Below are 16370 nucleotides of genomic sequence, written 5' to 3'. Positions count from 1 at the left end.
CCTGCCTACCTTAGGCAAGCTGTTGTGACTAAAGGAAGAGAACACAAAGCCCAATTCATCTCCCATGTGACCCACTGTGCAGTTGGAAGTGTAAACTTACAAATGCTGAAGGGAGGAAAAGGACCCCGAGCTCGTAGGAGCGGATCATCAGCTGGGTGCCATTCTTCTCCAATGCTCCCCAGGCAGCCTTGGACAGATTTGCGCTGCAGAGACAAGGACACAGATAGGGCTGACTCAGGGAGGCATCTCAGTGTGGGTCAAACTTCCACAGCTGCAAGAGCACCGGTCAAAAAAATATATAGCTGCAATCACATTCATTCATTTTCTAGCAGAGTTGCTGCATTTTTGAAAAGAGAATTTAAAATCTGCTGTTCTCTAATCCTCGAGATTTATCTAATTGCTAATTTGGGATAGTTTCACCCTCATCTGCATTTTCCTGAGGGCAGCTATTAAAATAATTATCTTTCCTTAGATTTTATTTTTTTCGTTCTAAAGCCCCTTTTCTTTTCACGATCCTGGAGTAGCCAGGATTTCTGGTTTTGTTGTACATAAAACTAGCATTTAAGAAGAAAGTTAATATTATCTTATGTAGTAGTATCTTAAGCTTCATATTTCCTTTTTCAGTTTTTTTGCCAGGTAGTGCTAATTTCTACTTTCAATGTGAAGAAAACAGCTCTGAGGGCAAAGACTGTTATTTGTATCTAGAGATAAATGGTACATTCAGAATGATGTTTTATATGTTCAAAGAGTTGTGGCTAAAAAAATCATGGTACAAGCCAGGCATGGTGGCTCACTCCTGTAATCCCAGCATTTTGGGAGGCCGAGGCGGGCGGACCACTTGAACCCAGGACCAGCCTGGGAAAGATGGCAAAACCACATTTCTAAAAAACATTAGCCAGGCATGGTGACGCGAACCTACAGTCCTAGCTACTTGGAAGGCTGCGGTGGGAGGATCGCTTGAGCCTGGGAGGTGGAGGTTGCAGCAAGCAAAAACTACACCACCACACTCCAGTCTGGATGACAATTAAAACCTCGTCTCAAGAAAAAGAAAAAAAATCAAGCTGCAGCAGGACAAAGGAGACTGGACACTGAACTTGCAAGAGGTGCCAAGGTGCATATTAAGGTGCTCAGGAATGGAGACCACTAAGCTCTGAGGCGTCTTCAGAGACTCTTTTTATAAGCGAATGTGGCAGAGACTAACATAAACCCACCATAAACATTTTTTCAGTTAGGCTCACCCAAGTTCTATTTCATTTTTAAAACATATAAACCTCAGCTATTCAGAAAACTCTTTAGAGCCTGACTTTGTGGATGACTGTGACTATTTCGAGATTCACTCACTGGTGCACCAAGTATGTTTTCTGAGCTATGTGCTGGAACTATTGTCTGCTGGAATTGGAGAGTCAAACAAAAACAACGACCAAGTAAGATAAAAAAAAAAAAAAAAGTTTGTTAAGGGTTCTATGGGAACAGAGAAAGAAGAATGTGGAAATCAGAGCTAAGGAAAACTCTTGAAGCGATTAGGCTGACTTAAGCAAATAGAGCATTATTTACAAGCTTTCCTGGCTTCCTAAATGAACCATATTGAGGACAGGAAACCTTTGCACAAGGACCACAATCATGAACATCACTGTCTATAACGTCGTTGAGACATAAAGTGAAGAGGAAGCTGATGTTTATGATAAACTGGTATTATGATTCTAGGAAAAAAACTTTTTTTAAAAGTCCAAGATGACATCTTGCTTTTAGGTCTTTCACCTGTTAGTAAAACAGGTCATCTCCTGGGCGAAGAGGAAAGTCTAACGGCAAAACCAACCAGTGGGTCTGAGGTGTTTTTCTCAGTTTTTAGATGATCGCTTTCTGGCCAACTCTTGACTATCAGTATCATGACAACAAAGACGGGAGGTATCTTCTGGAAGGCTGTTCTCATTCTTTCCCCATGAGTTGTGTTTTCTTAGCATTCCAAGATTTGAGGGCTTATTCCAAAGTAATGTTCAACAGAGATCACAAGGACAGCCTTTCAGATGGCTTCCTCCAATCCCTCCTTTTATTTGGCTTGTAACAGATTTCTAAGCATTTGGAACCTTAGAAACTCTACTGTGAACACTGAGAGCCTGAAAGTCACTTGCAGGTTGTCTAGGTGATAAATCAACATTCCCTGAGATATCATCTTTAATAACTTTTTACATTCTGGGTTAATACTTTGAATCACGGGCACCTGGGGCAGCCAGGAAGATGGGGTATTTCCAAACTCTTGTGGGGTTGGGAGGCAGGGAGGGTGGGGGGAGTGTGTGTGTGTGCGTGCACACACACGCCCGTCATGTACAGCAAAAGCACTATGTCTTTCATGAGGCACAGCGACACCACAGGGGTCTCTTGCTCCCACAACTCCAAAGAGTTCTAGCTTCTGTTCTCCACATGGAATCCATTGTCCACTGCCTGTCCTGGCTTCTGTTGAAAACTCGTTTTCACCATTTTGTTCCCCCTGCCCTCACTCTTCCATTGTTCTTTTTTCTACTGGACTGGGCTGCTTTCTCTCCCAAGTGCTGTGGTTTGTGTTGTTGCTGCTGGATACCGAGTGATGCTTCATCACTAAAGAGGGGTGGGGTATTTAATTTACTTTAGATCATTAGGGTAGAACTCTGGAGGTCCCATGGTCTACCATCTACCAGAAACACTACCCAAACCCTTACTAAAGTCATGTTGAGTGACAGTAGCTTCTGGGGGTGTATCAGTCAGGGTTCAATCACAGAAACATAACTAGGAAATTGTATACATATGTGTGTGTGTGTGTATTTCTTAAAGGAATTTATTATCATGTAATTGTAGGAGCTGGTTAAAGTCTTTATAAGGGTGTTATCTTTGTCCTGATGCTGGAGCTAGAAGTCTACAGAGCAGGCAGAAGCCAGAGGAGGACAGGCATAAAGTGGAGAATAACTAGCTGGAGCCACAGGCAGGGACTGAAGACTGTGAGGATGGAAACCCATGTGGTTTTTGTGCCTCTGGCACTGGAGGTGTGGATGTCTTGCAGAAGACAGGGCCTTCATCACAGAAAAAATACATACCTGGTGAGGGCCAGGAGTTAGAAAAGCTGAAGGAGGACTTGGGAGGGTGTGAGGTCCAGCTTCTGCTGGACACAGTGACAACGCATGAGTTATAAAAATGGCTGCTGTCTCGGCTGGGCACAGTGGCTCACACCTGTAATCCCAGCACTTTGGGAGGCCAAGGCAGCGGATCATCTGAGGTCGAGAGTTCGAGACCAGTCTTACCAACATGGAGAAACCCTGTCTCCACTAAAAATACAAAATTAGCCGGGCGTGGTGGCACATACCTGTAATCCCAACTACTCAGGAGGCTGAGGCAGGAGAATCGCTTGAACCCAGGAGGAGGAGGTTGCTGTGGGGCAAGATGGAGCCATTGCACTCCAGCCTGGGCAATAAGAGCGAAACAACTCCATCTCAAAAAAAAAAAAGAAAAAAAAAGGCTGCTGTCTCACATTTGCTCTCCAAATATAAGAATCTCCCTTGGGGCCCACCTAATTGGAAACATACAAGAAAGGGAATTCTGGAAATTGTGGTTGAGGGTAGACAAGTTGACCATTACCGAGTGTTAGGAACTGAATGTTTGTGTCCCCCAGAATTCATATGTTGAAATCCTAACCCCCAATGTGTTTGTGTCCTCCAGAATTCATATGTTGAAATCCTAACCCCCAATGTGATGGTGTCAGGAGCAGGGGCTTTGGGTTAATTATGTCATGAGGAGGGGGTCCTCATGAATGAGACTGGTGCCCTTATAAAGGAGACCCCAGAAAGCTGCCTTGCCCTCTTTCTACCTTGTGAGGACACAGTGAGAAGTCAGCAGGCTGCAGCCCAGAAGAAGGCCCTCACCGGTACCTGGCCATGCTGGTACACTGACATTGAACTTCCATTCTCTAGAACTATGAAATATATTTATAAGCTGCTCTGTATAGCAGTCTGAGCTGAATGAGGCACCAAGCCACCACAGCTAAGCTGACTAATGATATGTTGCTCATTTGGCAGTTTATTGTCCCCTTGCCTACAAGGAGTGCAAATGGTGGCAGAATACCCTGCCACAGCTTGTGAGGTGTGACTGCTTATTACAGGTTTGACCTGAGTCCCCAATATGAACATTCTGTCCCAAAGATTAAATTTTTAAGAGTAAACTTGAAAACGTATGACAAAAAATTCGTACAGGAAATCTCAGGAGAGCACAGGAATGGCATGTTAGGCACATGGAGAAGGCAGGCAGGCACATGCTGAGAAAAGAGCCCTGGACCCTGAATCAGGAGCAGTTTATGTCTCAGCTTCCCCATTAGCTGTGACTCCTTAAGCCACTCCTCTCCTCCCTGGGCTTTAGGTTCCTATATCCAGAATGAGGGCTGTCAGCCTATGAGACCAAAAATCCCTTTCCAGGCTAGAGTCTACAATGATGAGAGACACCCATGCTCACATGAACTAGAGTGTTCCCCTCCAGTGATGTAGTCTCATCCTAAGGTAAAATCTCTGAGTTTCACTGGAGGTTTACCACTGGGGAGTGGAGTACTTGTTGGATGTTCATGGTAACACATGGGGGAAACAACTGCCTAAGAAAGGAAGTGGGGAGCTATGAAGATGACCTCTGGGCCAAGCCCTGCTCCAAGCATCTTTCAAAACCTGAACTTTGGTAATGGGAACAGTTGCCATCACCAATCCCTGCTTGAACACCAATTAGAGTGGCTGATTAGATTCACTTTTAAGTTTTTTTTAAGAAGATGTACAAGTCCCCAAGGGTGACTGCTGTTATGGGAACATACGTCCACTGATAAAATATTTCTTTTTCATCATTAATTACTTAACAGTCTAGGCAGCAGCAGCAGCACAAAGAGTACAGAGACAATGAGACAATGTACAGACTGAGGCTTTGGCCACTGCACTTCTAGAGGACCAGGGATGAGGGGACAGACATGTTCACAGACAGCTGCAATAAAACAGAATGTTAACTGTGTGCTGGAGAAGATGGAGACCAAGCAGCTGTACTGACGTGGAGGGGAAACCATGACTCCAGCCAATGCTGCTGTTGCCCTTTCCTAAAACTCCACGGCAGTGTGTGTGCCACAAACACAGACATCGTAGGTTTCCTTCCATTTTGCATTCTCTGTAGGTTTTCTTGTATTACTCTTAGGCTCTGTTTTATGGATTGAAAAGACATTTCACAAGTGATATGTAAAGATATTCTCACTGTAAAAGATTCAAGTTGTATACAGGTATACACAGGAACATAATCTTTAATTTTGATAAATTCTGTCCAATTTCTGTCTCAAGCATCTATCCTATTTAGATTATTAGCAACATTGTATAGAAGTATTCTTTTCTTAGACTCTTGAGAACACTGGGTGGATAGTATCTATTAAAAGTTTTACAAGTCTAATAGGCAAAATATATCTAATTTATATTTGACTTCTCTGATTACTAATGATATTAAGTATTGTATTAGTCTGTTCTCACGCAGCTAATAAAGACATACCCAAGACTGGGTAATTTATAAAGGAAAGAGGTTTAATGGACTCACAGTTCCACATGGCTAGGGAGGCTTCACAATCATGGCAGAAGGCAAGGGGGAACAAGTCACTTCTTACAAAGGTGGTAGCAGGCAAACAGAGAAAATGAGAGCCAAGTAAAAGAGGTTTCCTCTTATAAAACCATCAGATCTCCTGAGACTTATTCAGTACCATGAGAACAGTATGGGGGAAACTGCCCCTAAGATTTAATTATCTCCCACTGTGTCTCCCTCACAACATGTGGGAATTATGGGAGCTACAATTCAAAATGAGATTTGGGTGGGGACACAGCCAAACCATATCAAGTATTTTTAACTGTATCTACTTGTATCAGTCTGTTCTCATGCTGCTAATAAAGACATACCCGAGGCTGGATAATTTACAAAGGAAAGGATGTTTAATGGGCTCACAGTTGCACATGGCGGGGGAGGCCTCACGATCATAGCAGAAGGCAAAGGAGGAGCAAAGGCACATCTTACATGGCGGCAGGCAAGAGAGCGTGTGCAGGGAACTGCCCTTTATAAAACCATCAGATCTCGTGAGACCTATTCACTATCAAGAGAACTGCTTGGGAAAACCCACTCCCATGATTCAATTACCTCCCACCAGGTCCCTCCCATGACACATGGGAATTATGGAAGCTACAGTTCAAGATGACATTTGGGTGAGGACACAGAGCCAAACCATATCATTCTACCCCTTACCCCTCCCAAATCTCATGTTCTCACATTTCAAAACCAATCATGCCTTCCCAACAGCCTCCCAAAGTCTTAACTCATTTCGGCATTAATTCAAAAGTCTACAGTCTGAAGACTCATCTGAGACACAGTACGTCCCTTCTGCCTATGACCCTGTAAAATCAACAGCAAGTCAGTTACTTCCTAAATACAATGTGGGTACAGGCATTGGGTAAACACAGCCATTCTAAATGGGAGAAATTGGCCAAAACAAAGGGGCTACAGGCCCCATGCAAGTCCAAAATCTGTCAGGGCAGTCAAATCTTAAAGCTCCGAAATGATCTCCTTTGACTCCATGTCTCACATCCAGGTCACGCTGATCCAAGAGGTAGGCTTCCATGACCTTGGACAGGCTCTGCCCCTGTAGCTTTGCAGGGCATAGCCCCCCTTCTTGGCTGCTTTCAGGGGCCGGCATTGAGTGTCTGCAGCTTTTCCAGGCCCACCATGCAAGCTGTCAGTGGATCTACCATTTTGGGGTCTGGAGGATGGTGGCCCTCTTCTCACAGCTCCACTAGGCAGTGCCCCAGTAGGGACTCTGTGTGGGGGTTCCTACCCCATATTTCTCTTCTGCACTGCCCTAGCAGAGGTTCTCCATGAGGGCTCCACCCCTGCAGCACACCTCTGAAGCAATGGCCTTGCGGGTACACAGAAGTTAAGAATTGAGGTTTGGGAAACTCTACCTACATTTCAGAGGATGTATAGAAACGCCTGGATGTCCAGGCAAAAGTTTGCTCCAGGGACGAGGCCCTCATGGAGAACCTTTGCTATGGCAGTGTGGAAGGGAATTATGGGGTCGGAGGCCCCACACAGAGTCCCCACTAGGGCACTGCCTACTGGAGCTGTGAGAAGGGCCAGAATCCTTCAAGATTGCAGAATTGTAGATTCACTGACAGCTTGCACCATGTGCCTGGAAAAGCCATAAACACTTAATGACATGAGGCTCCATCCCTGCAGCAAACTTTTGCCTGGACATCCAGGCTTTTCCATACATCCTTTGAAATGTAAGTAGAGGTTCCCAAACCTCAATTCTTAACTTATGTGTACCTACAGGCCCAACACAATGTGTAAGCCACCAAGGCTTGGGGCTTGCACCCTCTGAAGCAATGGCCTGAGCTGTATGTTGGCACCTTTTAGCCATGCCTGGGATGCAGGGCACCAAGTCCCAAGACTGCACAAAGCGGCAAGGGCCTGGGCCTGGCCCACAAAGCCATTTCCTCCTAGGCTTCCAGGCATGTGATGGGAGGGTCTGCCGTGAAGACTTCTGACATGCCCTGCAGACATTTTCCCCATTGTCTTGGCAATTAACATTTGGCTCCTCATTACTTATGCAAATTTCTGTAGTCCTCAGAACATGGGTTTTTCTTTTCTATTGCATTGTCAGGTTGCAGATTTTCCAACTTTTATGCTCTGCTTCCCTTTTAAACATAAGTTCCAACTCCAAAGAGTATCTCTATGAATGAATAAAACTGTATGCCTTTAAGAGCACCCAAAATCACCTCAAACACTTTGCTGCTTAGAAATTTCTTCTGCCAGATACCCTATATTATCTTTCTCAAGTTTAAAGTTCCACAGATCTCTATGGCAGGGGCAAAATGCCACCAGTCTCCTTGATAAAACATAGGAAGAGTCCCCTATGCCCCAGTTCCCAACAAGTTTCTCATCTCCATCTGGGAACATGTTAGCCTAGACTTCATTGTCCATATCACTGTCAGCATTTTGGTCAAAGCCATTCAACAAGTTTTTAGGAAGTTCCAAACTTTCCCACATCTTCCTGTCTTCTGAGCCCTCCAAGTCTCTAGGAAGTTCCCACTTTCCCACATTTTCCTGTCTTCTTCTGAGCCCTCCAAACTGTTCCAACCTCTGCCTGTTACCCAGTTCCAAAGTCACTTCCACATTTTTGGGTATCCTTATAACAGCACCCCACTCTACCGGTAGCAATTTACTATAACAGTCTGTTCTCTCACTGCTAATAAAGACATACCCAAGACTGGGTAATTTATAAAGGAAAGGAGGTTTAATGGACTCACAGTTCCACATGGCTGGGGATGCTTCACAATCATGGCAGCAGGCGAAGGAGGAGCAAAGGCATGCCTTACATGGTGGCAGGCAGGAGTGTGTGTGCAGAGAAACTGCTCTTTATAAAAACCATCAGATCTCATGAGACATATTCACTATCATGAGAACAGCACAGGAAAACCCACCCCCATGACTGAATTACCTCCCACCAGGTCCCTTCCACAACATGTGGGGATTATGGGTGCTACAATTCAAGATGAGATTTGGGTGGGGATACAGCCAGCCCATATCACTACTGAACGCTGATGTTTACCTCCGTGAAGTATCAATTTTTAAACTATGATACTGTTTTTTTCTCTTGATATGCAGTGCCCATTAGTTTCCTGCTGCTGCTCTAACAAAATGCCACAAATTTAATGACTTAAAACAAAGATTCATTATCTTACACAAAGTAAAGTAAAATTAAAGTTTTAGGAGGATTGTGTTTCTTCCAGAGGCCCTCAGGAAGAATTCATTTCCTTGCCTTTTCTAGTTCTAGAGGCTGTCTGCATTCCCCTTGGAATGTCTCTGTTCCTTCATCTTCAAGGCCAGTGAGGTTAGCTGAGTCCTTTTTCATGCAGTGCTCTCTCTCTCGACTTGTCCCTCTTCCACTTTTAAGTATCTTTGTGATTATACTGGGCCCTCCCCCAATAACCACCCCATTTTAAGGTCAGTTGATTAGCAAACCTAATCCCACCTGCTGCCTTAATTCCCCTTTGCCAGATAATTTAACAGTCACAGCCCCTGAGGATTTTACACAAAGACATCTTTGGGTGGCCATTATTCTGCCCACCACACAGTGCTTTTCATATATTACAATTATGTTGCAAATGTTTGCCCAGTTATAACTTTGTTTATGAAAACCTTTATAGTTCAGAAGGTAATTTTTGCTTGTTTTCTTCCATTTTGGGGCGAGGAAGGAAGTTATCCAAGGTGCAGTTTTTGACTTTATAGCTTCTGGGTGTGAGGTCTTACTCAGAAAAACCTTTTCATCCATCCCAAAATGGTGTCTTTTGACAAAATAAAGTTTTAAAATATTCTGAAGTCCAAACATGTGTAAATCTTTTCTTGCAAGTGCATTTTATGTCTTATGTACTAAATCTTGCCTACTTCAAGGTTGTAGGGTATTCTTGTTCTAGGCTTTATAGCTTTAGCGTTCTCACTTAGGCATATGATACATCTGAAGTTAATTTTGTCTATGTCCTAAGATAGGCTAAGGTTTTTTTTTCCTGCATCAATATCCAATTGCTTTAGCAATATTTATTGAAAAGAACATCCTTCATCCACTGAATTACATTGGTGCCTTTGTCAAAAATGGTTGATGATATATGTGTCTATTTCTGGACTCTGTTCTGTTCTGTTCATCAATTTATCTATTGTTATGCTGATATCACAGTCTTACCCTGCTTTTATAGTGAATCTTGAAATCATGTTTAAACTCCTTGGGGTTTTACAAATGCACAGTCATATCTTCTGCAAATATAGTTTTACTTCTTCCTTAATAATCTTTATGTCTTTTATTTTTTTGCCTTATTGCACTGGCTATAACTTCCAGTACAATACTGCAGAGAACCACACTTACCCTTCAATCTATTATGTGCTTTCAATAAGACTTTTCCCCAAACCACTATCCTGAAACCACTTAAAGTCACTCCACACTGCCATATCCAATGGAAACTTCTTTACTCTCATCTTAATCTCTCTGTAGCATGAGACTTCTACCATCAGTGCCTCTTATCCCCTGGCATAATTGAAACATTACTGTAATTATTCTTCCTTGTTTTCTGCTACACTTTGTGGCTTCCTTTCTGCTTTCAACCTCTCTGGTCACTCCTTTTCTTCCACCTGATCTCTCAAATATTGGAATGCTAGGTATCTGCCCCTACCTTATGTCAAGATATTAACATAGACATTGGTTCCAGGTTCTTGAAGAGACCAGCAGCAACAAAATCTATCTGGAGGTACAGAGGTTTGTCCACTCAAGTCACAGATAATTTTTATAGTTAAAGCTTCAGTGAAGACACAAATTTTAAAATAAAAGGGAAAATAATCCAAATCCATCATGAGCAAGACAACAGAAAATATAATTAGACCTCCAGGAACTTCAGATGATTGACCAATTAGATGTCGAGTTAAAAATAAGTATACTTAAAATGATTTGAGCTGGACATGGTAGCTCATGCCTGTAATCCTAGTGCTTTGGGAAGCCAAGACAGAAGGATCACTTGAGGCCAGAGGCTTGAGACCAGCCAGGGCAACAAAGCAAGATCCCATATCAAAATAAAATGCAAAAATTAGCCAGGCAGGGTGGTGTGCACCTGCAGTCCCAGCTACTTGTGAGACTGAGATGGGAGAATTGCTTGAGCCCAGGAGCTATGATCACGTGCCACTGCACTCCAGCCTGGGTGACACAGCAAGACACCATCTCAAAAAACAAAACAAAAATAAACAAAAGATTTCAAAGTAAACAACATACAAAAGAAATAATGAAACAAGCATAAAACAAATTTGCTAATAATGGCAGCTAATATGCAGCATCTATTAACTGCCAAATGTTGTTTTAATACCTTTATATATTCTATTTATTTTCATTCTTAACTATTAGATACCTATTCTATTACTATACTTACTTAACAGATGAGAAAATGGAAGTCATTTGCCCAAGATTTCAACAGGTACTAGGTGGTAGAGTAAGAATTCGAACTCAGGCAGCGTGACTCTGGGCTGAACTCTAAACCATGAAACATATGGTATCCAAGAAGGTCCAAAAGTAAAATACAGTCACTAGAATTAAAAACTCTACTGATGAATTAAATACCATGAGTCACAGCTGAAAACAAAACTAATGAAACAGAAGAAAGATCTAAAGAAATTAGGTAGAATGCAACTCAGAGGCAAAGAGGTGCAAAGTAAGAAACTGAAGATAGAATGAGAGGGTCCGACAAGCATCTCATAAGAGTTGCAAGAAGGAAGTGAGAGAGGGTGAGTCAATATGCTTAATGATAATAGCCAATAATTTTACCGAACTGTTGAAAAATCAGTTCTTTAGAGTGAAGAAATACAACAAACCCTGCTGAGACTAAATAAAAATAAATCCATACCTATTTATCCATCGTAGCTAAACTGAAGAATACCAAATATAAAGAAAATCTTAAAAACAGCCAGAGATGAGACAGCTTTTCCACAAGGAGCAACAATTAGATGGCAACTTCTCAATACCAACAACTGAGCTCAAAAGCCAATGGAAAAAAATATTTAAGGAACTTAGAGGAAGACCAGGCATGGTGGTTCACGCCTGTAATCCCAGTATTTTGGGAGGCTGAGGTGGAAGGATTGCTTGAACTCAGGAGTGTGAGAACAGCAACATAGTGAGACCCCATCTCTAAAAAAAAATAAAAAATTAGCCAGGTGTGGTGGTGCATACCTGTCCCAGCTACTTGGGAGGCTGAGGTGGAAGGATGACTTGAGCCCGAGAAGTGGAGGTTACAGTGAACCAAGCCTGGGTGGCAGAGCAAAACTCTGCCTTAAAAGGAAAAAAAAAAATCTTAGTTGGCAGTTACTTTGTCCCAGTTTCCCGCCCCGAGACAGGGTCTTGCTCTATTACCCAGGTTGGAGTGCAGTGGAGCGATCTCAGCTCACTGCCACCTCTGCTTCCTGGGTTCAAGCGATTTTCATGCCTCAGCCACCTGAGTAGCTGGGATTACAGGTGTGAGCTACCATGCCCAGCTAATTTTTATATTTTTAGTAGAGACAGGGTTTCACCATGTTGCCCAGGCTGGTCTTGAACTCCTGGTCTCAACTGATCCACCGGCCTTGGCTTCCTAAAGTGCTGGGATTACAGGTATGGGCAGTGTGAGCCACCGCGTCCGGCCAAAGAATTTTAAATTCAGTTAAATTATCACTCAAAAATGAGGGCAAAAATAAAGGGAGTTTTAGAAAAACAAATAAGAGCTTATTGCCAGTAAGAAGGCATCAGTGAAATAACTATAAAAGATACAGTTCAGGAATAAAACTGAATTTGTTTGAAAGGACAGGGCTACCGGGAAGAAAAAGAACAAAGAAATGAGTAAACTTATGGGTAACTGTAAACAAGAAGTGACTGTAAAGTAATAATGACAATGACTAATTTTGAAAGCCAAAAAAGGGTGGAATGAAAATATTGGTGAATAATAAAGAGGAAGAGGAGCTGGTCATGGTGGCTCACACCTGTAATCCCAGCACTTTGGGAGGCCAAGGCAGATAGAGAGTTTTGAGCTCAGGAGTTCAACAGCAACCTGAGCAACATTTCAAAACTCCATCTCTATGAAAAATACAAAAATTAGCCAGGCATGGGCTGGGCATGGTGCCTCACGCCTGTAATCCCAGCACTTTGGGAGGCTGAGGTGGGCGGATCACCTGAGGTCAGGAGTTCGAGACCAGCCTGGCCAACATGGTGAAACCCCATCTCTACTAAAAACACAAAAAAATTAGCCAGGCTTGGTCGCGGGCACCTGTAATCCCAGCTACTTGGGAGGCTGAGGCAGGAGAATCGCTTGAACCCAGGAGGTGGAGGTTGCAGTGAGCTGAGATCATGCCATTGGACTCCAGCCTGGGTGACAGAGCAAGACTCTGTCTCAAAAAAAATTAGCTAGGCATGGTGGCATACACCTGTAGTCCCAGCTACTTGGGGAGGCTGAGAAGGGAGGATCACCTGAGCCTGGGAGGTCAAGGATGCAGTGAGCAGTGAGCATGCCATTGCACTCCAGCCTGAGTGACAGCGTGAAATCCTATCTCAAAATTCTGCAGATGTTGAAGAATCTTGGGAGATTAACTACTAAGAGGATGCAACACATCAGCTGTGTTTCCAGGGTGGCTATCAGGTCTTACAGATACAGTGTATTAACAAAGAAAAGCCAGCAAGAAAAGAAAAATGAAAATGATTATGATGCATGTTTTCAAGCAGATAAGAGCAAAACACTAAAGAAGATTAGACACTTGGGTGTGGGGTTTTGCAAGTGTAAAGTCTGACAAACCACCAAATAGATTTGGACAAATCTACTTGCAACCTCACTTTGTTCCTCAGTCACAGGCCTATCATGACCCTCCCCCGACAAGCAGTCTTTCATAGCCATGTTGGACTCTAAATGGAGGCCTTGGTGCCCGATGGCATAGTCCAGCCTACCTGTTGACCTAGTCTTTAAAAGGATCCATCTATTCTTGATCCCACAGATGGAATTACAAGGACTTTAGAAGTCATCACATCAATAATCCAAAATGACAAAAATTACTGCCAAGGATAAAAAAAGTGCTTTTCAAATTTCAGGTCAAAATTGGTATTTAGAATACTATACCAAATAATTTGAGTATATATTTAATAGTAACCCATGTGACAACCAAAAACTGCTTACTGTTTTATTTTCTAATGAAATGTTCCAATGTTTTAGTCTATCTCCTATAGTGGAAAGGCAATAAATACAAGGACTTGAAAAGAGCAACAGACTTGTAAGATATGAGTTTGCTTTTGGCTAGCTCTGTTACCTTGTGGTTAGTACTTAGGTCACCAATTTCTTCACTTATAATAAGGACTTAACACCATCTGCTCATTACACTGGGCTATAATGAGGAATGAATGAAATAATCTAGGTGCAAGTGCTTAGTAAATTTTAATGCACCTCACAAAGGTGAGGTTTGGAAATGGTTAATGCTTTTAACAGAACTATGATATGGTTGTTAGAATGGGCCTTGGGAGATGATCTATTATAATGATTTAAAAAAATTTTTTTTTTAAACCTCGAGAACCCTTTGTTCAAAGGAAACATTTTAAGCAAACAAGGGCGAGTATCTCTGGGTGAATTACTTGCACTCATCTCTCTCTGCCCACTGTTGTGGTGGCTTCTGAAAGGGGTTTCCAGAGCCCACAGGGCTCCAAGGAACACAGCATAAAATCCACTGATTTAGCCCAACCCCTGGTTTTACAGATGGGGAAATGGGCCTAGAAAGCAGAAACAAATGTCTTAAGAGTGTGGCTGCAGAGCAGATGGACTGTTCACATGGCCAGTAAGACTGAATAGTCCAATATATGGTCAGCATTTGGTCAAGGTCCTGGGAGACCTTGAAAAGCTCTCTGAAGATGATTCCTTTATAAAGTGTGTGAAGGCTGGTGCCTTACCTTTGTTTTCCTGAGTCCCATAGTACACAGTGTCCTGGGAATGATTCTTGTCTTTTTGGAGCCTGAAGCATTGGTGCTGCATAGCACAAGGAAGGTTTCCACTAAGACCTGAGATAGCTGGAGGGGCAGCCTCCTTGGGGCTGTTGATCAGCTCCAGAAAGCCTAACAGCATGTTTAACTCTCCTAGAGAGCTGTGCTCACAACCTTATAGGCAACCTACTTCCTCCCTTCCTTCTCTCAGCCTGTCACCATCCTGCTGACTCTCCTGCAATAATGTTTCTGTGCCAATCCCAAAGCAGAGAGACGATAGGTCTACATCAATTAGAAGGCAAGTTCATGAGAGCAGGGACCACACCTGTCTTGTCCATCATCTATAACTAAAACTTAGAATAGCACCTGGCACATAAACAAGAAACAGTCACATCAGACTATCTGGGTCTAAATCCTAGCTCTTCCTGCTTCCCAGCTGGGTCACTTGGGGGCATGCTATTTAAGCTCTCTATGCTTTAGTTTTCATATCTCTAAAATGGGGATAGTAGCAGTACCTAGCTCCCAATTTGGGTGATTAAATGAGCTAGTATAAAAAAGCGCTTGGCCAGCATATAGTAAGCACCATACAAGTATTTGCTATATTACTTGTGAGAGGCTTTCTTTGGAGGCCAGTCCCTGGTGGGAAATTCCAGGTAGCACCTCCTCATCTCAAGCCAGATGTGCACTTAGTGACTAGCAATGCCAGTGTACAAAGGGTCTAGAGGCACTAAGTCAGGGGTCTCAAGCTTTTTTCCATCAGTGATGATGCTCACAAGACTTTCTCATATGAGTACAGAAAGGGGTATGCTCTGTCTTCACTCTGCTTGTACCAGATGTAGGCAGGTGAGGGTAGTAATATGACCTTGAGTCATCTCTATCGTATAAAGGAAGTCACTTGTAGGCGTTAGTACTGATAACCATCATTTGTAACAAAGCACATGAAGCATACCAGCTAATCCCAATATCTTAGAGCCACAGGGCCAGGCAAGCAAGTCTACCCAATGACATCTGTAAGTATTTTCTTGTGTAATCCAATTTTATTTTCACCAAAATACTCAGACAAAGGAGAACAAAAAGAGATGATTTGTTTCAGAATCAAAGCAACAGACATTAGAGAAGGAGTACTGCATAGTAATATTGAAAAGCAGAGGAGAGAGAATGTCTTTTATGTTTCCTCAAAAAGCCAGTGATTTTGCAGTCAAGCACTTGTCTCGTTTTCTCCCGAAGTGGCAGCACCAACATTTCTGCTCATCCCTGACTATCCGCATTGCCTGTCAGTTGCTAGGCAACTCTAACAGTGATCCAGCATGTGTTAGGTACCCACCTTGCTTCTGACCACCCACAATACACAACTTTCGTAACTGTTCTCATTGGGTTTGCCAATTACACCTAGGCACTATCCTCTTAGCCAAGGCTTCTCTTAAACCTCATCTTCCTCCTGCTTAGTCCTGTGGTAAAATTTAAATACCACATTTGTCATCATGTCCCAATAATTTCCCTAACAACCGGCTGCCCATCAAACATGGGATGATTTTACGGTAGGATCAAAACAGATGGGAGGGAAATCTTATTAAAACCATAAATATCTCTCCATAAAAGTAACCAATCAAAAGAGGAAATCGCCAGCTAATATAACATCCTAATAAGTTCAAGTGAACTGTTAATTTTGAGTTTCTCTGAATGTATAAATCTGGCTGACGGTACTTGTCCTGATTAAATAGAGTAATTGTGACCAATTTAAAAATTAACCACATATGGCTGGGCGCAGTGGCTCACGCCTGTAATCCCAGCACTTTGGGAGGCCAAGGCGGGCGGATCACAAGGTCAGGAGTTCGAGACCAGC

General features: G+C 42.9%; 1 protein-coding gene across 18 annotated transcripts in view, besides 1 other annotated feature; it reads right to left on the bottom strand.

Annotated features, from left to right (window-relative positions):
- Positions 1-16370, bottom strand: part of TDP1 (tyrosyl-DNA phosphodiesterase 1) — an 89797-nt gene that overhangs the window by 25246 nt on the left and 48181 nt on the right. For all 18 annotated transcript variants that reach the window (XM_047431570.1, XM_011536942.4, XM_047431568.1 and 15 more), the window contains one exon: positions 101-203. In XM_047431570.1, coding sequence (XP_047287526.1) covers positions 101-203 — 103 coding nt within the window. The remainder of the gene's footprint in view (positions 1-100; positions 204-16370) is intronic.
- Positions 12688-12855: a silencer, noted in NCBI's record as "fragment chr14:90473008-90473175 (GRCh37/hg19 assembly coordinates)". NCBI's record gives its function as "represses an EF-1alpha promoter that drives an FKBP-Casp9 reporter gene in an ReSE screen in phorbol 12-myristate 13-acetate-treated (for megakaryocytic differentiation) K562 erythroleukemia cells {active_cell/tissue: K562(+PMA)}" and the evidence as "EXISTENCE:reporter gene assay evidence [ECO:0000049][PMID:32094911]".

The sequence above is a fragment of the Homo sapiens genome, chromosome 14 (assembly GCF_000001405.40).
Source record: "Homo sapiens chromosome 14, GRCh38.p14 Primary Assembly".
Lineage (NCBI taxonomy): Eukaryota > Metazoa > Chordata > Mammalia > Primates > Hominidae > Homo > Homo sapiens.
This window is presented reverse-complemented; position numbering and strand designations above follow the sequence as displayed.